Genomic DNA, 24,552 nt, shown 5'->3' with positions numbered 1-24,552 from the left:
AGCAACAAATAAAAAGATTATAGATCATAACAAGTATCGTTTATTGCAGTTTAAGAAGCAACACATATAAAAAAAGATTATACACCAAGACAAGTATAATTTATTCGAGAAGTATAAACCTGGCTGAACATACAAAAATCAACTAATGTAAAATAGGACATAAACACATGTAACATCTCCATATACCAAGACAGTTAATAAAATCCAATATCCTTTCATGATAAAAATACTCAATAAACTAGGATTTGAAGAGAACTTCCTAAACCCAATAAAAGGCATCTACAAAAGCCCTCCTTTTTACATTGTATTTTATGCTGAAAAATGGAAAGCTTGCCAACTACAATCAGAAACAAGACAAAAATGACTGTTCTCACCATTACTTTTAACATTGTACTAGAAGTTCTTGTTAGGGAAATCAGGCCAGAAGGAGAAGTTATATAATTGGAAAAGAACAAGTAAAACTAACTGTATTGCAAACAATATGATGCCATACATAGAAAAATTTAAGAGTCAATAACAAACTACTACAAGAAAGAAATGTAACAGAGTTTCAGTATGCAAGATCAATAAACAAATATCAACTGTATTTCTACATACAAGATACATGTTTCTTTACATTAGATGTTAAAAAATCCAAAATGAAATTAGGAAAACTTCCATTTATATTCACAACAAAAACAAAAAATTCTTTTGGTATCACTTTAGCACAGTTGAACTGAAAACTAAAAAAAAAAAATTGCTGAACAAAAGTAAGATAGACCCAAATAAACGGAAAGACATCCCTAAATAAATGGAAAGACATTGTATGTTCCCTGATTGGAAGACTAATGCTGTTAAGATGGTAGTACAATACAAACTGAATAAGGTTTATCAAAATTCCAGCTAATGTCTTTGCAAAAATCAACAAGCTAATGCTAAAACCAATATGGAAGTTCAAGGGACCTAGAATAGCCAAAACAATCTTAAAAGATAACACAATTGAAGAACTGTCGCTTCATAATTTGTAAATGTTCTATAAAGCTGCAAATCAATGCAATGCAATTCTGGTTTCACGACAGATATATCCAAACAATGAAACAGAACATAAAGCTTGTAAACACTTCCATCTATGATTGACTTATTTTCGACAAAGATGCTGAACAATATTCCCAACAATCTTTTAACAAATGCTCCTTGGACAACTGAATATTCACATGAAAAAAGTAAATCTAAAACTCTTACCAGCATACTATACACACCCATCCATCAAGGAGTCACACAGACCACACAAGTCTAGGAGGTCAAAGGGTTATCACCAGCAGAGCACTAAGGCCACATGGGTAAGCATGACTAACCCCACTGCTATGCTCCTCTGGTATCACGGTTTGGGGGTGGCACATTCAACATGGTGCTGGGACACAGTAACCAAAGAGGGAAAACAGTTGGCAGTGGGTGGGGGTGCTGCTCTCACTGTCTTCCTCTCCACTCTGGGTCACTGAAGAGACTGAGGGATGCCTCTTCTCTTGTCTCTTTTCTAGATATATAATACCCCATCCTCACACCTGCAATCCCCTTGATTGCAGACTGGTTCTCCTTTAATCCTCAGACCCTAAAGTTCACTCTGGGAAAGCCCCAATTTCACTCACATATAAAGGCCTTCCAGGATGTAAGCCAAGTATTTAAATTCTCCATGAAGGATGTTCCAGGGAAGGGAAAGCCATGAGAAAAGTACCAGTGACCTTAAAGAACTCTAAATGGGACTATGATGATAACATCAGAAAATGGAGATGGAAACTTTTACAAATGTGTATGCTGAAGGACTTGCAGGGGATTAGAGCCAAACCTATTAACTGCTCTAAGGTTTCCAAGATAGATCAAAAACTAGATGAAAATCCTTCAGCATTTTTGGAAAGGATGAGAAAAGCTTTAGTGAAACACACCTCCTTCTCTGCTGGTTTATTACTCAGGCAGCTCCTAAAATGGGAAGGAAATTAATGAAACACTCTGTTGAAAAATCTAGTTTTTCTCACCCTCAAGTAAAAACTTTGCAGTGTATAAATGACCCTCTCCTCTGTGCCCTAATTAAGGATGTCTCAGGAAGGCACTGAGGCTATCCTCAATCTCTTAGCTTAAAGTGGATATAGGGTCTAAAAATCTAACACTCAGCTCTGTCAGACTTCAGTAAAGTCACTAGGTCTAGTCTCAACAGAAAGGACCAGAGAAGTAGGTAAGGAAAGGATTGAGTCTATTTTCTTTACTAGTTAAGGGGATTCATAGGTATTACCAGATTTTGTAGACTGTGAATACCTGAGTACAGGGAAATGGCTCTCCCTTTATATTACCTCATAAAAGAAACTCAAACAGTTAAAACTCACCCCCACAACTTGGGACCCTGAGACTCAAAAAGCCTTTAACCAGCTAAAATAAGCCTTACTTAAAACACCAGCCCTCAGTCTTCCCACAGGGAAAGCATCCAGTCTCTATGTATCAGGAAAGAAAGGAATGGCCCTAGAATTTTTAACTAAGGCTTGAGGTCTGGCTCAACAGCCAGTGGGTTACTTAAGCAAGGAACTTAACTTGGTGGCTAAAGGATGGTCAGCCCACCTGCAAGCAGTTACAGTGTGGCCTTGCTAGTGCTAGAGGTCAATGGGTTAACCATGGGGAGTAACTTTTTTTTCTTTCTGTTTTTTTTTTTTGATGCATGGTCTGGCTCTGTCGCCCAGACTGGAGTGCCGCAGTGCGGCTCACTGCAACCTCGGCCTGCAGGGTTGAAGCCATTCTCATGTCTCAGCTTCTCGAGTAGCTGGGATTACAGACATGTGCCACCATGCCCGGCTCATTTTTTTGTATTTTTAGTAGAAATGAGGTTTCACTATATTGGCCACGCTGGTCTTGAACTCCTAACCTCAGGTGATCTGCCCCTGTCTCAGCCTCCCAAAGTGCTGGAATTACAGGTGTGAGCCACCATGCCCAGCCTAATTTAACTGTTACCACCCCACACAAAATAGAAGAACTGCTGTCCTCCAAGGAAAGGTTCTGGCTAACAGACAAATTGCCTCCTCAAATATCAAGCTTCGCTGCTAAAGGGATCTCCTGTCCAGTTGAAAACCTGCCCTTGCCTAAGTCCAGCCATTTTCTCCCAGAGAAAACTGGGAACCCGAATATGACTGTGAACAGGAAGTGAAGCAAACTGGTAAAAGAAGTAAGAATCACTATTTACATTCTCTGTAAAGTTTTAATTAATGAAAAAGAATTTTTTTAAAGAGCACTCAACTTAATTGAAAGTGGGTCTCTAAGCTATGGGTGTATTTAAAAGGCCCTGGTGTTTTTCTTTTCATAGATCTTGTTTTTCTGCAAAAGGTTCTTCTTCAGTCAACTTTTTTCACTCTGTCTTGCCACTCTTGGTGCATGCATGAAAGACCCTAGAATGACTTCTGGTGGCCCAGGACTCCTTGAGAAAACAGATAAGGTGCAACACATCTCATTTGGGGAGAAATTTCTGTTTTCTTCATACAACCCCTGTAATTAGAGGTGGTAAGTCCTTCTAATCTGTCTTTGTCTTCCAGCTATGCTTGTTTACTAGGCACAGGAGACTGTATTCCTAGACTGCTCTTAAAAGGGCTCCACTCTAAGCTGTTGGATCTTCTTCTGTCTGTGTAGTCATGTATGTGATATGTATGTGATGTCTATAAAAAGAGTTCTAATTAATTGGCCTAAGTAAATAAGCACTTAAATACTTTTAAAGAAAAAGCAAAAGCTTGTGGTACCTTTCAGTTCACATGACTTTCATCTTTAAAAATAAAAACATTCTGGGCCAGGCACAGTGGCTCACGCCTGTAATCCCAGCACTTTGGTAGGCTGAGGCAGGCGGATCACGAGGTCAGGAGATCAAGACCATCCTGGCTAACATGGTGAAACCCTGTCTCTACTAAAAATACAAAAACTTAGCCGGGTGTGGTGGTGGGCGCCTGTAGTCCCAGCTACTCGGGAGGCCGAGGCAGAAGAATAATGTGAACCAGGGAGGTGGAGCTTGCAGTGAGCCAAGATCAGGCCACTATACTCCAGCCTGGTCAACAGAGCGAGACTCTGTCTCAAAAAAAAAAAAAAAAAAATTCCTAGAGTTACCGTTTTGACATCTAATTGAAACTCTGGAAATAGATCTACATGCAAGGTATATAAAAACAGTAAAATATGTTTTTAGTAAAAGATTATAAGAAAGCAAGGAAATGTACATTGTGCCTAAGAATAAAGGACTGTCTTAAATTAGATAAACTGGAAGGTTTAAGCAAACTGAAAAAGATTGCAAAACTTAATCTTACAAAGGAAACTGTGTATGAACATATTAACTAAATTAAAAAGGGTATTTGTTTTTTTCTGTAAATTAAATATTGAAATAAAAGCACAACAAGGTATTCCTAAGATCCCAATCTGCTCTTTAGCAAAACTTGTAAAGGGTTATAACAGGTTTGCAAAAATCTCACCTCATGGTCAAACTGGTTAAAATTGAATAGGAGTGCCTACAATGTTTCATTAAAAACTGAGGCTAAATAAATTAATAGTAAACTAATGCAAGGGTGAAATTTTAACTTTCTCTCTTCAACAGGATTTCCATATAATAATAAAGGCTGATGGGATAACCGTATGGGATATCCAAGATTCTAGGCCCAGAGTATGTGCTGTTAATTGCAATTAAGGTTGTTATGTTGAGTTATTTTAAGTCATGGAAATAATCACATTTGTCAATCATGTTCTTGACTGTAACCACCTTGGACATTTTGTCTTTACAGACAATTGTTGTCTTGCTTGAATCTTCTTCAAAAAAATAGTTTATAATCAGCTATGGAACTTTAACAGGTGCTCTCAAATGCAGGTTTCTCATAACAGAAAAATGTACAGGACTTACGAAAAGCTGAAATGTTTACAAATATCAAGCAGAACAATAGTTAACAGAATGGACTGAACTAATAGAAAACTAAAGCAATCTTTTTGGTTTATGCTTACAACAGTGCTGATCCTTATTTTGTTTTTCAGAGTCAAGGAAACTTGTCTTGAGCTAGCTACAGACTAACAACTGAGTAAGGTATACTCTTGTGAACAAGGTTTAGAGCATGTTTGTTTCTTTCTGCCTGGTTCCTTTAAAATTCAGATACTTGTTGTAAGTATTCTTGACTTATAATATGGTTGTTTGCGTCAGTGCAGTAAGAATCCATTTTATTTTGCACACAATTTGAAAAACTGGTTGTTTTACCAAGGTTTTGACTGGAGGGTTTGTTTCCACTGAAGGAGTCAGTCTTGACTTGCAGAGCCAATAAAAGCCCTTTGGGAAAAGTGGCCTCACACCTTGTCTACACAGCTTCCATATAAGCTTCCTAACCTGCGGTGAGTAACAAATTTCACTTTCTCACAGCCCTAGGAACACCATGCTCTTGGAACCTCAAGAAAAGAAAAGTTTACCTAAGTCACAGGTATCTGAGGGTACAAACCCGTGGCTGGGCTCAGCTTCAAAGTCCCATCTGAGAGTCCTTGTGGAAGAAAGTTCCATCAAAGCCTATCTAAAAGGCCTGTGTAAAAATAATTATTCTTCCTGCATTTTATGCAAATCTCAGACCAACTTTAAAACTAAAGTCTATTTTGCAAACAACTCAATCTTATTTGTTTTTAACAGAAATGAGGACTGGAATTTGTTTTTAACAGAAATGAGCACTGAAAAAAGGGAAATTATGTTCCAAACTTATCACATATCTGTCATTGACTTCTAGTTTCGTTAGTAGTTTTTACATTCCTGCCTACATTTTAAACTAACATTGCTTATTCCTGTAAACTAACCAGCCATCTCTGGCTGCAGCTCACAGGAAACAGAAAGGGATATGTAACGTAAAAATCTGGAACAATGTTCTAGTTCAGGGCGATTATCCTACAAATGCTGCCAGGTAACCTATAATCCAGACGTTTCCATTTTGGGAAAGTAAGACCAAGGAAGCTCAACAAAGCCTAGCCCCATGCACCCAAAATCTTAACAGGCATAGTTATAGCCACCAGTTATCAGGGCATGTCAACAGCCTCAGGATTTTAATGCTGTCTTTCCCCACTTCTTGTCTCATTTTAACATATGTCCACTAGTAACCCAAATTGTTTCATTTCACTTAGAAGCTATCAAGCTCCAAATGGTAATGCAAATGGAACCAGGCATAAACACTTCTTTCATCTGAGTGCCTTAAACCATCTCCTGGAGGAATCCTAGCTTCTGTTCCCCACACAATGCCTGTCTCCAGCAGGAATTAACCAGAAAGATCAATGCCCAATCTTCCCAACAGCAGTCAGGGTTTCCACTCCTGAAGCAGGGAATGAGGGAGAAGCAAAGGAAAAATCAGTTTGGAAAACCTCAGGCTGCACCTGCACATAGGTAAGCAACTTTGTATAATTAGTCAGCTCCCAGGAAAAAGTTTTTCAGGCATACAAATGGTGAGAACTTACACAGGGAGGTGAGGGGCTTATCGAAAACAAACCCTCAGTTATATCAAGAAGAGAAGTGGCACTCTGTGCTTGCCTAGAGACATATCCACAACTGCTTAAGATAAGAGGAGTTGCACAGACAGCTTTACTGATAATAGAAGTTATTCAAACTGCTACAGAGATGAGAAGAGCTTCTTATAAAAGCTGTTAAATTCAGCTATAACCCAGCAATCCACTCGGACTCCTCTCTGCTGAAGAGAGCTTTTTTCTTTCACTTATTAAATTTTCACTCCAATCCCACCTTTGTGTCCACGTTCCTTAATTTTCTTGGACACAGGACAAAGAACATGGGGTACTGATACAGAAAATGAGAAAATGCTACAATAAGGTGCATTAGGAAGACTGCAACATTTCCACATTTCATCTCACCTAGAGAAATAAGCATTGCATTAAAACACAAAATAAAAACATAAAAAAGCCAAAAACCCTGCCCACCAAGGTTCACAGCATTAGGAAGACTGCAACATTTCCACATTTCATCTCACCTAGAGAAATAAGCATTGCATTAAAACACAAAATAAAAACATAAAAAAGCCAAAAACCCTGCCCACCAAGGTTCACAGCAGTTTATAATAGCCCCAACCTGGATATAATACAGATGTCCATTCATGGTGAGTAGTTCATACCATGAGTACTACTCGTCAATAAAGGAAGCAAATGTCAGATACAGTATGCCTAATGTGAAGATCTGAAATTTAAATACTCCAAAATCTGAAACTTTCTGCATGGTGACATGATGCTCAAAAGATATGCTCCTTAAAACAGTCTGGGCCAGGCATGGTGGCTCACACCTGTAATCCCAGCACTTTGGGAGGCTGAGGCAGGCAGATCAGATGACAAGGTCAGGAGATCAAGACCATCCTGGCTAACACAGTGAAATCCTGTCTTTACTGAAAAAAAATACAAAAAAGTTAGCCGGGTGTGGTGGCAGGCACCTGTAGTCCCAGCTACTCAGCTACTTGGGAGGCTGAGGCAGATGAACGGTGTGAACTCAGGAGGCAGAGCTTGCAGTGAGCTGATATCGCACCACTGCCCTCCAGCCTGGGCAACAGAGTGAGACTCCATCTCAAAAAACAACAGCAATAAAAACATTCTGGATTTCAGATTTTTAATGCAGAGATGCTCAAGTAGTCAGTATGAGGCAAATGCTCCAAAAAAAAAAATTCCAAAATACTTCTGGTACTAAGCATTTCAGATAAGGGATACTCAACCTGATAGATACATACATCATTCTAGTGAGACTGCAAACAATTAAATAGAATGAAAAAAAAACTAACCTCAAAAGTCCATATTATGTTCAATTCCAGTTAGTACATGTTTAAAGTAAAAGCAAAAGACCTTTAGAAATTGAGCCGACTGGCGGTCTGGTTAGTTGCCAGGGGTTAAGAAGGAAGTTGGGGCAGAAGGCAAGCGGGTGTTGCAATAAAAGGGCACCATGAGGAATCCTTGTGATGACACAGATGTTCAGTATCTTGATGGAAACAATGTCAAAATCTTGGTAGTGATCAAAATCTTGGTTGCAGTGATTTTTAAAGATGTTAACACTAAGAGTAACAGGGTAAAGAATATATGGGATTTTCTGCATTACTTCTTAACATGGTACGTGAATCTACAATCTTCTTAGTATAAAAAATTAATTTATTAAAGTAAAACAAGTGTTCTAAATGCCCAGCAATACAGAGGAAGCTATATGTAGTATTTTATTAGTAGTTATTAGTGAGAGGTGAAGTCAGCTGAGCTTCTAGTTCAGATGGGGACCTGGAGAACTTTTGTGTCTAGCTAAAGGTTTGCAAATGCACCAATCTGCACTCTGTGTCTAGCTAAAGGATTGTAAACACAACAATCAGCACTCTGTAAAATCATACCAATCAGCACTCTTTGTCTAGCTAAAGGACTGTAAACACACCAGTCAGTGCTCTGTAAAATGGATCAATCAGCAGGATGTGGGTGGGACCAAATACAGGAATAAAAGCTGGCTACTCAAGCCAGCAGCACAACTGGCTTGGGTCCCCTTCCACCCTGTGGAAGCTTTGTTCTTTCGCTCTTCACAATAACACTTGCTGCTGCTCACTCTTTGGGTTTGCACTACCTTTATGAGCTGTAACACTCACCAGGAGGGTCTGTGGCTTCATTCTTCAAGTCAGCAAGACCAAGAACCCACAGGAAGGAATAAATTCTGGACACACTAGAACTAAAGAACTGAAATCCACTTAAATGTCCAATAATAGGAGAAAGGACTACATCACCTTAACCTAGTAACTGTACAGCACTTTAAAATGATAAATACAGAATTTCTTAGGAAGACAACTGTAACACCTGCTTTTAATTCCCTCTGGTGTCCACAAAATTCCCACTGAAATAACAAAAGGAATACAGAAACTACTAACAAAATAGCAAATGATGAATATTATTACAAGAACAAAAAAATGTAAGGAGGCAACTACAGAATCAAAGAGGAGTGATTAAAAGATAGAAAACTAGACAGTGAGGAATGTAGTTAGATCCTGATTCAAACAAACTGTTAATAAAACCTGTGAGAAACTATTTGTGATACGGTTTGAACAATAAGCATTTAGATACACAAAAACTCCTAGGAAACAAATTAGGACAACTACTGGACAGGAAAAATAGACATATTCTAAGAAGGAAGTGAGAACAGCTCAAAGACCTGTAACAATGTTCAATCTCAGTATCTAGAAATATTAAAATTGATGACCACAAAGAGAATCTCATAACCATGGGACTTTCAAAAATGAAAAATTATGCCAAAAATAAACGTTGGCAAGCACTGAAAATTAGTACCAACACCTCAGAAGACAAAGGCTTACTTAGAATTCAAATCTTTATCACCTAGAGTTTGAGCAAGCACATTAACTACATGTAACTGAGAAGAAAGATAAACTTGGAATCATCCAGCTGCAGCCCACGAAGAACTGATAATTGGCGTATACTCATTGCCTCCTTAAAAGCACCTTAACAAAGACCTTTGAAGACACACTGGCATGCTGTGTAAGAACTGCCAGATTTACCAACACCTCAAAAATGCAATGCTAGTCACTGAATAACAGACTTTTGATAAACAATAGGTAAGCCAAACAGCAATACAGAAATGACAGATTTTTTTTTTCTTTTGTGACAGTCTCCCTCTGTTACCCAGGCTGGAGTGCAGTGGTGTGATCTTGACTCACTGCAACCTCTGCCCCCGAGGTCCAAGACATTCTCCAGAGTAACTGGGATTACAGGCATGCACCACCATGCCCAGAGAACTGTTTGTATTTTTAATAGAGATGGGGTTCCATCATGTTGTCCAAGGTGGTCTCGAACTCCTGACCTCATGTGAGCCACCCTCCTCAGTCTCCCAAAGTGCTGGGGTTACAGGCCTAAGACACCGTTCCCAGTCAGATAATAGATTTTTTATTTTAATTATCTTGAAGTCATCTTGAGAATTTATGAATTAAAAAGGAGAGGGAGAAAAAAAAAAGAGAGAAATTGACACCAGATCCTCCATCTATTATTATGGCTGTCTTGGTGCATCACTGTTTCAGAAGTTATCTCAGGACTAAAAACAATAGGAAATAAAGAGTATCAAATATAACTTCTCAATATTGATGTCCTTGCCTACCTCTGATATACATCCAACAGATTAAAACATATAGTCATCTCAAATAAATTCTTATTATGCTGACATGATTAAAAGTCTAGTCCCTTTACATGGTAATTCTGATTTAACACATCTGGGGTGTAGTCAGAATTCAAAGTGTAACAGTTGTGAAACTATTATCCAGGTCACTTCTGACTTCTTGTACATCATTTTCTTCCTTTTTTCTATATTCTCCATAATGGCAAGATCCATCTATGTGCCAAACTGTTACAATGTGTTAACTTTCATTGTCACAAAGTGTTCCATATAAAGGAGTCCACAGTTTACTTATCCTTTCATAATATATAGACATTTAAGTTGTTTCCTTCATTTCGGGACTAATAAAACAATCCTGCTAAGATACTGTTGAAAACATTCCTTAGTGAACATATTCAGGAGTTTACCCAGGGCATAGATTCAGAAATAGAATAGTTGGGTGATAGAACGTAAGAATCTACATTTTAAAAGAACAATGCCAACCTATTCTCTCTTGTAATTAGCAAGTAAAGCTCCCACCAAAAATCTAATTACTATTTACTGAAATATTTATTCCTGAATAATGACATATGGATTTATATTCTTGATCCATAAATTCATCAACCTTAAAAACCAGCGAGACCATTGTGCCAAAATGTCTTTAAAAGTGACATTATGATATTAGAAACCTCTTGTTTTTTGAATTTCATTTCTATATGCCATATACATAACTCCATAGAACCAGAATGTTTTATGCCTCATTTTCCAATTATTCTCTGCATTTCTACAGGTTATTTTAACCAAAGTCAAAATGAAAATTACCAGTGGAAATGAATTCAAAGAAATAATGTAAGTGAAAAAACATTAAGATTCTGCATTTGTGATGAAAACTATTACAACAAATTACTGTTAAACTCTGATTGGAAGAAACAACAATGACCAATTCTTTTTCATCAGAGATTCTTCCATGAAAATGTTAGTTAAGCACACTAGCTATAAGCAAAAGAAATCTAACGAATTAAACTTTACTTAGAATTAACTGGCAATATTTACTATTTGGCAATACTTTACTATTCAAGCTACTACCTTAAAGCAATCAAAAAGATGATCAAGTTGTCCAGGAGAAAAATCCCAAGCCAACTTTGCTAGCAGATCATGTACATTCTTCACAATGGCTTCATGTTTTCCTGCCTGTTGAAAAAACAAAAGTAGAATAAATAAAAGCAAAAAAAAAATTATAGTATACTTAAATTTTAATAACAAAAAAATAGTTCTACTACAAGAATCTCCATTACTTAATAAACATTCCTACTTCATTTGAGTAATTAACAGAATTCTTAATATTTGAAATGCTTTAGAACTGTCATTTAATACCTGGCAACTCAGTTTTTTTGGGTACAAATAGTAAACTTCGGAAATTAATATGAAAACTTACTAGAAGGTATTTACAAATAAAACTAAGAGAAAAAGAAGTCAAAATATTAGATTGTTTCAAAACTCCAAGCTTAAGTGCTCAATAAAAGCAAGATTAAGTATTTTGTTGTTTCTCTTAAAAAAAAGGCAAAAAACAAGCTTTATGAGCCAGTGCCTAACAATACTCCCCAAGTGACCCAGGAGTAGAAACCTGCCATTAAGATAATATAAAAACATATGCATTAGTATATCTGAAACCAGGGTTTTTTATTATGGAAAGTCATAATCTTCTATAATAATCGTATGTTTTTTAAAGTCACTGTAATGGAACTCGTGACATTTGTTTCTTCTATGCATTACATAGGTGAAAACCTCCAAATATAGATTCTTTATCCTCTTTCAATAATTGTTCCTTTAATCATAATTATTTTGCTATATAGATCTTTCATTTAAAACCATGTATGGCCAAGCGCAGTGGCTCACACCTGCAATCCCAGCACTTTGGGGGGCTAAGGAGGATGGATCACGAGGTCAGGAGATCAAGACCATCCTGGCTAACAGGGTGAAACCCTGTCTCTTCTAAAAGTACAAAAAATTAGCCAGGCCTGGTGGTGGGCGCTTGTAGTCCCAGCTACTCGGGAGGGTAAGGCAGAGAATGGTGTGAACCTGGGAGGCAGAGCTTGCAGTGAGCTGAGATTGCACCAATGCACCCGAGTCTGGGAGGGAGAGCAAGATTCCATCTAAAAACAAAACAAAACAAAACAAAAAAAACCAAAAAAACTACCTATAAGCTGCTACCATGAATATATATACAAAGACAGAAAAATGTTATTTTTTGTTTAAAAATTCTTGGTAAGATTTCTCTACATGAACAGCACATGCATTAGTAAAAGTCAGGCAATACTAAATTGCTGGCCATTATATAAGGGTTACCAAAAATTTTCTCCTTTTTGGTATCTTTCTTAGAAAATAGCTATCATCTCACTTTCTTACCTGTGCTGCCCAGATATTATCAAGGTCCTGTAATGTAAGAGCCTTTTCTTTAATCACAAAACGAAGAATTTTCTCTAGCTTTTCTACATATTGTGGTTGATGAAGACTGTCTTGCAAGACTATGGATAAGATATTATTTTGCTGTATCCATTCCTAAATGTAATACAAAAATTCAATGCTGAAACTAAAAAGAAATTTTTTTAAAAAGCGAAATAAAAACATGTCTCCAACTTCTAAATAATATTAAGTAGGAATTCAAAAGTCCAAATTATGTATACATTCACAAATTACAGCACAGTAGTGTAACATTTAAGTGTTGTGTTAATTCAAAATTAAACACTAAAATAACTTATTTCACAAAATTTGGCATATAAAATCTTTCCATAGGTGTACTAGATTCACAAATTATAATTCACTAATATAATGAATTACCTTGGTGTTGTAATCTGCAATTAGTATACATTAACATAAATAATTTTACAGAATTTTACTTCTGCAAATAAAGATTCCCATATGTGATACAACAGTACACTTCTCACACTATCCATTGAAAACAACCAGTTTTATATTCCCAATCTTAGATTCTTCTGTAAAATACAATAAAAGTGCCACAACAATGTCAAATTTTGCTAAATACTTTCAATGTTGGTGTCTCTCAAGAACCAGTAATAATTCAAGGACTAGTGAATATACTGAGTAATTCTGTTTAACATTCCACAAAGCAGGCAAATTGCATACATAAAACCTGACCACCAGCACTGAGTATGAGCATGGGTCTAAGGTAAACACTATTAAGACCACCCAAATGTCCTTAGCATATCTTTTTTCACATTCTAATCCTTTCCACTAGCAACCTGAAGGTTATTTTATGGTAAAGCTTATTCTACAGAAATGATCTCCACTATGCAAACCACATACACTCAAAAAAAGACTTTTTAATACTTTGGTGAAGTATTTGCTATTTATTTTGAAACTAAAATGTATGAAAATTTCTATGGTAAACAGTTTCATTACCTGTCAAAATGACATACATAGTGATTTTAAAATGAAATTATTAAGAAATTAATCTTACACTTTGGGAGGCTGAGGCAGGTGGATCATGAGGTCATGAGTTCAAGACCAGCCTGGCCAAAATGGTGAAACCCCATCTCTACTAAAAACATAAAAATTAGCCAGGCGTGGTTGCAGGCGCCTGTAATCCCTGCTACCTGGGAGGCTGAGGCAGATAATTGCTTGAACCCAGGATACGGACGTTACAGTGAGTGGAGATCGTGTCACTGCACTCCAGACTGGGTGATGGAGTGAGACTTTGTCTCAAAAAAAAAAAAAAGAAATTAATCTTAATATTCTTAAAATCATGATAAAGCACTACTCAATTATCCCATTAGTTATAATCCCTATTTATTAATCTTCAAATGGAATTAGGAAGTGATCACTACGTTAGTTCATTCACCAGACTGCAGATCCACTCAACCCCTCCGAAAATCACATCTTACTATTTCATTTCAACCAAGCCATCTATTTACATCAAAGCTACATTCAAAAATAATAAATTTACCTGAGAAACAATTAAGTTACCTCAACAGTTTCAAACAACTAATCATTTATTAAACCTTTTATTATTATTATAAAAAGATCTTACAATTAGTCATAAATCTTTCAATTTTAGTTTTGCTATTGTTGCTTCTAACAATAATTGGTAATAATGTAATTTTCCATAAGCAGTGTCTTATTCACAATAAAAGATTTAAGAGGCTTACTGCCATTCGCTCAGCTGTCAGCCATTCTTCCTCCTCAGGATTACTATGCCGATGAGTATAATATGATACACTAGATATAACCTTATTTATTTCATTCAGTGCATTCATCTTTCCATTAAAAGAGGAAATTTGCAACAATCTATGAGAAAAATTTGGAGTAAATGTTATAACCTTATTTATTTCATTCAGTGCATTCATCTTTCCACTAAAAGAGGAAATTTACAACCATAAATGAGAGAAATTTGGAGTAAATGTTATATCAGAATTCACACAAATAATTTAAGGTGGAAAATATCTTACCTGAGTATCATCTTTAACCTAAAAATTTCCAAATTTTTTATAGTCTCATCTTGTCCTGAAATTCTTGAAGCTAAGTTCTTCAAAGATTTAATAATCATTGAAAGGGCATCATTTTTGGCTTCATTCTTTGCCTCCTTTTTCAGTTCTTCATCAGTTAAGTTTTCCAATAAATGTGGAACTATTTCTATAACTGGAATGAAGTACTTTTTCAGTGTATGTTGACTGAGAAACTCATAGCATTGTCCAAATGGTCTGAAATACGAAGGACACAAAACCTCTGTAACATTCATGTTTTTTAAAAGAACTAAACTTGCCAATTACTTTCAACATTTAAGACCACACAAAAACAGGTCCTCATTTTACAGTGAGACACAACCCACACTGAAAAAAATGAACAATGATTTTTAAGTAAATAAAATAGTAATTTGTATAATGCACAGAATATGAAAACATAACTTAATAAGAGCTGCAATTATTTGAACAAACATGAAATTATTTAACAAACATGAAAACATAACTTACTTAATAAGAGCTGCAATTATTTGAATATTTAATGCTGATCCATTAAAAAAACGATCATGCAAAATCTGGAACCCATTTAATGTGCCAAATTTATTGATGAGATCCACTAGCCAACCCTGTAATACAGTTAATAATAAAAATTAATTCCCCCCTTTCAGAAAAAAAGTTACTATTTGAAACGCATTTGTGTGAAGCATACTAGAAATGGAAAATTTAATTAAAAAATTATACTAAATTATCTTTAAAAAGAGTACAAGACATGTTTACTATATATACTTACAGAGATTTAAACCTTTTATATTGTATTTTGTTTTCTATATCTTTCAGCTGGACACAGCACAGGCAGAAATTATATCATAGTTCATGGGGACACAACTGGTATTGTTTATATCTCATGTATCTGGTACGAGTAAGAATCAGGTAAAGGTTGTATATCTAAAAACATCTCTAAACGTTAAGATGCAATATGAATTAACGACTTCAGAAGTTATGAAAAGAATGAATAAACTAAGAATTAAGAAATAAGGTAAAATGAAAGATTTTTATATCATTTTCTAGAGTCAAGTTTTAGGAGAAAAATCAAAAAGAGGGAGTAGAGAACAAAGGATGTTTTACTACCAATCTTTTCTTCCTCCTCTTTTTTTTTTTTTTTTTTTTGGAGACGGAGTCTTGCTCTGTCACCCAGGCTGGAGTACAGTGGCATGATCTCAGCTCACTGCAACCTTTGCCTCCCAGGTTCAAGCAATCCTCTGGCCTCAGCCTCCTGAATAGCTGGGATTACAGGCACCTGCCAATACACCCAGCTAATTTTTGTATTTTTAGTAGAGATGGGGTTTCACCATGTTGGCCAGGCTGGTCTCGAACTCCTGACCTGAGGTGATACACCCACCTCGGACTCCCAAAGTGCTGGGATTATAGGCATGAGCCATCATGTCTGACCATACTACCAATCTTGAGAGAAATAATTTCTCCAGTTTGAACAGAAAAACATATTCAGGACATGTGGAAAATGTGAAATAAAAAATAACTTTTAAAGAATACACTTGTATAACTCTAATCCTACGTTTGATACGATGAAAAACTGAATTTTAAAAGCTTTGGTAAATATATTCCTGAATGATTTTACTATAATATTATATTTTCCTACCTTTTTATTATTTAAAAAATCAGTTCATGGAGTGACATCAGCAAGATTGTGGACTAAAACACTCCAAAGCCTTGTTTCTGTTCAAAGAAAAAACTTCACTGCAATTCTGAAAATCAGTCAAAAGTATACAGCTATCAAGAAAATGCCCAGTTCAAGAAAAAGCCATATTCAAAGGGAACAGGCAATTTTGTGTTATTTCACTTATCCTTGCCCACTCCCTTCCTACCAAGGTACAGTTTGCAGAACCAGTGATCTGGTCACCAGTTCTGTATGAACTGGAGGAATCAAGAGGGCTAGATTTACAACATTCTAAATTTGTCTGCAGGCTGCCTGTGGGATTAGTCTCTGCATACTCAACCTGAAGGGCAAGGGGCCAACAGTGGCTTAAAACTCCGACTAGAAGCCATGGGAAGACAATTTGTGAAGTCTCCAAGGGAATTACAAACCTGTAGACTACTGAGGCGAACTACTGAATGAAGAATGCACATGACAGGTAAGGCAGCAAAAATAAACAGAGGTGAGGCTCATGGAGGAATTGGGAAATTTTTACAGCAACCATCATGGAATGGAATAACCAGAACCATGTGAAATACATGGGTAAAAAAGACTCACGGAAAGTCTCAAGAAAGACAAATACCTAGAAAAGGTTAAAGCAGGCTTTAAGCCTGCAAGCTGAGCTGATTAATAAAGGGAATTCCCCTGTACCAAGCCAGTTCACAAAGACTGGGGAATATAAGTGCTTTTTCAAATGCTCAAAATGACTCAGGAGGCCAGTCACGGTGGCTCATGCCTGTCATCCTAGCACTTTGGGAGGCTGAGGTGGGTGGATCCCCTGAGGTCAGAAGTTCAAGACATGCCTGGTCAACATGGTGAAACCCCTGGCTAAATATACAAAAATTAGCTGGCATGGTGGTGGGTGCCTGTAAACTCAGCTACTCGGGAGGCTGAGGCAGGAGAATCGCTTGAACCTGGGAGGCAGAAGTTGCAGTGAGCCAAGATCACGCCATTACACTCCAGCCTGGGCAACAAGAGGGAAATCTGGTCTTAAAATAATAATAATAATAATATAAAAATACAAAAAATTAACTGGGCATAGTGGTGGGAGCCTGTAATCCCAGCTACTTGGGAGGGTGAGACAGGAGAATTGCTTGAACCCAGGAGGCAGAGGTTGCAGTGGGCAGACATGGTGCCATTGCACTCCAGGCTGGGTGACAGAGCAAGGCTTTGTCTCAAAAAAAAAAAAAAAGATGACACAGCCTACAAAAAGTAGACAAGATAAAATAAATCTTTTTTTTTTTCTGTCCAAGGACAGAAACTGTCCTTGGAGAAACACAGCCAGACTCACTTGACAAACATTTTAAAATATCAGCGCAGTGTCTCACACCTTTAATCACAGCACTTTGGGAGGCCGCGGCGGGCGGATCGCCTGAGATCAGGAGTTCAAGACCAGCCTGGCCAGTATGCTGAAACCCCATCTCTACTAAAAATACAAAAACTAGCTGGGCATGGTGGTGCACGTCTGTAATCCCAGCTACTCGGGGCCAGGGGGAGCTGAGGAAGAGAATCGCTTGAACCAGGGAGGCAGAGGTTGCAGTCAGCCAAGATCGCACCACTGCCCTCCAGCCTGAGAGACAGAGTAAGGCTCTGTCTCAAAAATAAAATAAAATAAAATAATTTAAGAAAAAGTCAAATACGCCTAATGAACTAATGAAAAAGGAGGCTAAAGAAAATTAGAAAAATGATATACAAATAAAATGAACATGTCAACAGAGAAAAAAAATAATAAAGAAACAGGGCCAGGTGTGGTGGTTCAATCCTATCATCCCAGCACTTTGGGAGGCCAAGGCAGGCAGATGACCTGAGGTCAGGAGTTCAAGACCAGCCTGACCAAACATGGAGAAGAAGACCCCATCTCTACTAAAAATACAAGTAGCCGGGTGGCCAGGTGTGGTGGTTCATGCCTGTAATCCCAGCACTTTGGGAGGTCGAGGCAGGCGGATCACAAGGTCAGGAGACTGACACCATGCTGGCCAACATGGTGAAACCCCATCTCTACTAAACACACAAAAAATTAGTGAGGCATGGTTGTGCGTGTCTGTAGTCCCAGCTACGTGGAATCCTGAGGCGGGGGAATCACTTAAACCTAGGAGATGGAGGTTGTGGTAAGTCGAGATCGCGCCATTGCACTCCAGCCTGGGCAACAAGAGCAAAACTCTGTCTCAAACAAACAAAAAAACCAAACGTAAATTCTGCAGATGAAAATACGGAAACAAGATGGGCTCAACAGAAGACATCAATAGGCAGGACTGACAATCACGACTTGAGAAAAGGTCATTTAAAATCAGAGTAAGTGGAGAAAAAAAGAAGTCAAAAGTGAATAGCCTGAGAGACTTAGGGAATACCACCACTTGGAAAAATGCAAACATTATGAACGTCCAAGAAGCAGAAGATAAAGAAACAGAGGTCTCACATGCAGAAATAGTGGCCAAAATAGTGGCCAAAACTGTGCCATATTTGAGGAAAGACATGGATATATACAAATAGAAAAGGCTCAGTACCTCTAGGGAAGGCACACCCCCAAAGACCACCACCAAAAAACGTTATAAAAAGAAAGAATCTAGAAATTAGTAAGAAAAGTAACTCCTCACATAATGAAAACAAAACAACAGCAGCAACAACAACAACAAAACCCTCAAAAATAGCTAACAGCTGAGTGCTCATTAGGAAGTACTGAGAGGAAAATACTATCAAATAATAATTTGGTACTTGGCAAAACAGTCCTTGAAATTAAGACATTTCTAGACCAACAAAAGCTGCTAGAGTCTATTACCACTAGACTACAAAAATGCTAAATGGCGTGCAAGTTGAAATACAAGGGCCCTAGGTGATAATTCAATGTATTAAAAAAAAATTACCAAATCTGTGGTAAAGAAAAACATACAAACATTTGTAAAACTCAGTATTACTGTAATTGTCTAATAACTCCACTTTTTATTCTCTTACAGAATTTGAGAGGCCAAAGAATTAAAAAACTTATGTCTGTATTACATATAAAAATATATCATTTGTGATATCAATAACATAAATTGCAGCAGGTGAGGTGTAAAGGACATTATGTATGCAACTGAAATCAAGTTGGTATGGGTTTAAAATAGACTGTTACAGCTATTATAATAATATACAGGCATACTTCATTTTATTACGCTTTGCTTTACTGAATTTTGCAGATAGTTTTTTTTTAAGAAGTGAAATTTGTAAAATGTCACATTTTTTAGCAATGAAGCATTTTAAAATTAAGGTGAGTACATTTTTTAAAGATGTAATGTTACCACATACTTAACAGACTAAGAATAGTGAAAATTATATATATATTGAGAAACAAAAAACTTGTGCAACTCCCTTCAATGTGGTAATTGCTTTATTGCAGTGGTCTGGAACTCAACCTGCAATACTATCTCCAAGGTATGCCCCTATGTAATCTCCATGGTAACCAGGAAAAACATGTTTATGGAATATGCCTAAAAGGAAATGAGAAGAATCACAACATGTCTGTAAAAGACAATCTGAAGAATTGAAATTATGAAGATAAAGTCAGTAGGTAAGAAAATTATACAGAAAAAAAGCTGTAAGACATCAGAAAACAACAAAATGGCAGTGGTAAATCCTCTTTATCACTAATTACTCTGAATATAAAGTAGGTTCAACTTCCCAACCAAATGATACAGATTGGCAGAATAGATTTAAAAAACAAAAACAGAATCCAAGATAAACTGTCTACAAAAGACTCACTTAAATATAAGGATGCACACAACTTGAAAGCTAAGAATACAAAACATCTGGGAGGCCGACGTGGGTAGATTACCTGAGGTCAAGAGTTTGAGACCAGCCTGGCCAACATGACAAAAGCCCGTCTCTACTAAAAATACAAAAATTAGCAGGGCATGGTGGTACATACATCGTGGTGCACACTCCCAGCTACTTGGGAGGCCGAGACATGAGAATCACTTGAATCTGGGAAGCAGAGTTTGCAGTGAGCCAAGATTGCACCACTGCACTCCAGCCTGTGCAACAGAGCGACTCTGTCTCAAAAAAAAAAAAAAAAAAAAATCCACACAAACAGTAACTAAAAGAGAACGTTTTGCTAATATGAAGCAAAATAAATTTTAGGTAGCATCCTCTCACAAGAGGCAAAAAAGGATGTTATATGATCATAAAAGGGTGAATTCACTGCAATTATAAATATGCATACACCAAACTTCAGAACTGCTGACTGTGTGAAGCAAACATTATGAGACCTAGAGAGAAAGTTATACAAAATTAGTCAGACACTTCAATACCATATTTCCAATAATCAGTAAACAATCAGACAAAATGTCAATAAGCCGAGGTGGGAGGATCACTTGTCATCAGAAGTTCAAGACCAGACTGGCCAACATGGTGAAACTCTGTCTCCACTAAAGATACAAAACTGAGCCAAGCATGGTGGCGGGTGCCTGTAATCCCAGCTACACAGCAGGAGAACAGCTTGAGCCTGGGAGGCAGAGATTGCAGTGAGCTGAGATGGCACCACTATACTCCAGCCTGGGTGACAAAGCAAAGCCCTGTCTCCAAAAAAAAAAATAAGGAAAAAAAGGCCTTGCACAACACTAGAGAACAAGTTGACCTAATAAACATTTATGGAACACTCTACACAAAAGTAGCAGAATAAACATTCTCGTCAAGTGCACTTAGAACATCCATCAGGATACATTACATAACAAACAAAACAAATCTTAACATATTTAAGACTGAGCTCATACAAACTATCTTTCCAGATCAGGATGCAAGGAAACTAGGAATCAACAGCAGAAGAAAAACTGAAAAATCAGCCAGGTGCATTGGGAGGCCAAGGCAGGTGGATCACTTGAGCTCAGGAGTTCAAGACCAACCTGGCCGACATGGTCAAACCCCATCTCTACTAAAAATAGAAAAAATTAGCTGGGCGTGGTGCCACACACCTGTAATCCTAGCTACTCCGGAGGCTGAGGCATGAGAATTGCCTGAACCCAGGAGGTGGAGGTTGCAGTGAGCCTAGATCACACCACTGCACTCTAGCCTGGGTGAAAAAGCGAAACTCCATCTCAAAAAATAAAAAAAAATAAAAACTGAAAAATCCATAAATAAGGAGAAATTAAACAACACATCTTAAACGACCCATCGATCAAGGAGGAGAACTCCAACAGAAAGTATAATATTTGAGGCAAATAAAAATGAAAACATATCAAACTTATGAGATGCGGCAAAAGCTGTGCGAAGAGAGAACTTCATAGTACAGAGGATTTTTTAAAAAAGATCTCCAATCAACAACCGAAAATTTATACCTTAAAGAACTACAAAAAGAAGCTGGGAGCAATGGCCCACGCCTGTAATCCCAGCACTTTGGGAGGCTGAGGTGGGCAGATCACCTGAGGTCAGGAGTTTGAGACCAGCCTGACCACCATGGTGAAACCTCTTTTCTACTAAAAATACATAAATCAGCCGGGTATTGTGGTGAGCACCTGTTAACCCCAGCAGCTATGGAGGCTGAGGCACAGGATGGGAGGCAGAGGTTGCAATGAGCTGAGATCATGCCGCTGCACTCCAGCTTGGGCGACAGAGCAAGACTGTCTCAAAAACAAAAACAAACAAACAAAAAATAACTACAAAAAGGGTAACAAAATAAACCCAAAGATAGCAGAAGAATATAAATGCCAAGAGATTAGCAAACAGAGCAGAAAAACAACAAAACCAAAATTTGGTTCTTGAAAAAATAAAGAAATTGCCAGACCTCTAGCCAGTTTGACTAAGAAAAAGAGAGAAGACTCAAATAACTAATAGCAGAAACAAAACAGGAGACATTACTATGTATATTATAGAAATAAAAAACCATCTGAGAGTACTAAGAACCACTGCATCCTAAAAAACTGGATAACCTAGATAGGAGGACAACTTTATAGAAATATACAATCTACCCAAGACGCAACCATGAAGAAATAGAAAACCTGAATAGGCCCATAACTAATCAGACAGAATCAGCAATCAAAAATACCCCCATAAAGAAAAGCCCAAACAAAACCCAATCACTTCACTGGGGGAATTCTACCAAATACTTGAAGAATTAAGACCAATCATCCTCACAGTCTTCCAAAAAACTGAGGAGGAAAGAACATATCCAAACTCATCTATGAAGACAGCATTACCCTGAACATCAAAACAAGACAAAGAAATTACAAAAAAAAAAAACCCTACACACTAATCTCCCTTATAAATATTGATGCAAAATTCTGCAATACTATAATAGCAACAAAATTTAAAACATATTAAAGAGATTATATACATGACCAAGTTATTTTTTTCCTGGAATGAAAGACACTTCAACATACAAATATTGATCAATACGACACACAATCTGAAGAGAATGAAAGGAAAAAAATCACATGATCATGGCCATCAATGCCGAAAAAGCTTTGACAAAATTTACCACCACAATGATAAAACCACTAAACAAATGAGGAACAGAAATAATTGACATTAACATAATAAAGACTTTATGTAAAAAGCTCTTGGCTAACATCATACTCTATGATGAAAGACTGAAAGCTGTTTATCTAAGATCAGGAACAATCAAGAATGCCTCCTTTCACTATTTCTATTCAATACACTAATTAAGTCCTCCTACCTGTGGAGGTAACACAAGAAAAAGCAGTAATAGGATTTATCCAATGTGAACCAATGGGAAAGAAAAAAGTAAATTATGTCTGTTCACAAAAATTTTATACTATTTAAAGGAATTCTGTATTATTTTATCTTTTTGGATTCTGCGAGTTTGTGTGTGTGTGTGTGTGTGTGAGCACACGCACATGTGCATATGCAGTATACTTGCTAAAGCCACGTTCTATTTTCTTTTTCTGTTGCTGGTTAAGTTTTTTTTTCATGCGCTAAATATTAATTGAATTTAATATGATCAAACTGACTTTGAGATATGAAATAGCCACTACAGTAATATTAAAGATACTGACACATTAAAGTGAAAATATACAAAATTGGGTGACTTTTCCATAGCTTTGACTGCTAGTGCAGTGGTTTTGGCTGTTTTTTTCTTTTCTGGCTTTTTGATGTGTAATTAGATTTTGCTGTCTTCTATCCCGCTTCCTTGAGAAAAATTGTTAATTCTGGCAAGTATAAAGCAGATCTAACTTCCCTTTGAGGTACAACTACAAAGATTACTTACATGATCCAAGATTTAGCTGTTGAACACTGAACCATCTTCTCCTAAGAAAATTAGGCATTACAGGAAACGCCTAATGGTATGTCATGAAAGCAAAATGGTACAATTTTTAAATCTCACTGAGGTTATACAGTCTGTAAATATATGTAAGCATTCTGCTGCTTTAATAAATATATACACACAGTACAAACAAAGAACAGCCCATGCTTATTTGCAGTAATTACAGTCTCTGAAGTAGCTGTGAACAATGAATTAGCAAATACTGACTTCTCCTCACAGAAACACAAACACTATGCTCCAAGGAGCATATTCAACCAATCAATACATAATAAACCCTGTTCAGGCATGAGTTATATGGTTATTGACCATGAGTTCAAGGTTATACATATTAAATAATAGGTCTTTAAACAGAAATCCACATAAAACAAGACTATGTATTGACTTGATCATTATTTAAAGACAGGTTCACATCACTAATGGTCTGTGGCAAATGCAAATAAAAAAATTAATATTTAATCTTGAAAATAACAAACCAACGCACTTTTGGTGATCGAGGATCTGAAGAACGAGCAAATAATTCATCTTCAGGCAACTGAGCATTTGAGGAAATTAATTCACACGGACGTGTACCATTGTAGATATGAAACTTGCAGTGAGGATTTAAGGCCATGGCGAGAAGTTCTAGAAGTGGAAACCAATCTTGGGACAACTTGGCCACACAAAGCTCCACTAGGCGATGAGTATTGTTAATAATACATCTCTGTTACATGGATAGGATATGATACAGTTTATAATAAGAACACATTGCAATTTCAAACACATTTAATTTTTATTAATAATCTCTTTCCATTTTTCTGCACTGGTCATCTTAATTCTGCATAATTTCACTAATATTGGGATCAAAGTAATACATTGGTAAAGATAAATTAATATTTATTTCATAAATTTGCACTTAATTTCAAAAGCTATTTGAGAAATGTAACAAATAAAGTAGGTACCACAGTTTGTCTATTTCTGCTTTATGTCTACAGGACACACAAATTGCCACTTTTCTCTCTGGAAT

General features: G+C 36.9%; 1 protein-coding gene across 3 annotated transcripts in view; it reads right to left on the bottom strand.

Moving 5' to 3' along the window:
* USP9Y (ubiquitin specific peptidase 9 Y-linked) overlaps window positions 1-24,552 on the bottom strand; it is a 159,609-nt gene that overhangs the window by 110,016 nt on the left and 25,041 nt on the right. For all 3 annotated transcript variants that reach the window (NM_004654.4, XM_047442772.1, XM_047442771.1), the window contains 6 exons: window positions 24,031-24,249; window positions 15,097-15,212; window positions 14,575-14,826; window positions 14,275-14,413; window positions 12,515-12,667; window positions 11,195-11,299 (listed from right to left, as the gene is read on the bottom strand). In NM_004654.4, coding sequence (NP_004645.2) covers window positions 11,195-11,299; window positions 12,515-12,667; window positions 14,275-14,413; window positions 14,575-14,826; window positions 15,097-15,212; window positions 24,031-24,249 — 984 coding nt within the window. The remainder of the gene's footprint in view (window positions 1-11,194; window positions 11,300-12,514; window positions 12,668-14,274; window positions 14,414-14,574; window positions 14,827-15,096; window positions 15,213-24,030; window positions 24,250-24,552) is intronic.

Source organism: Homo sapiens, chromosome Y (assembly GCF_000001405.40).
Source record: "Homo sapiens chromosome Y, GRCh38.p14 Primary Assembly".
Lineage (NCBI taxonomy): Eukaryota > Metazoa > Chordata > Mammalia > Primates > Hominidae > Homo > Homo sapiens.
This window is presented reverse-complemented; position numbering and strand designations above follow the sequence as displayed.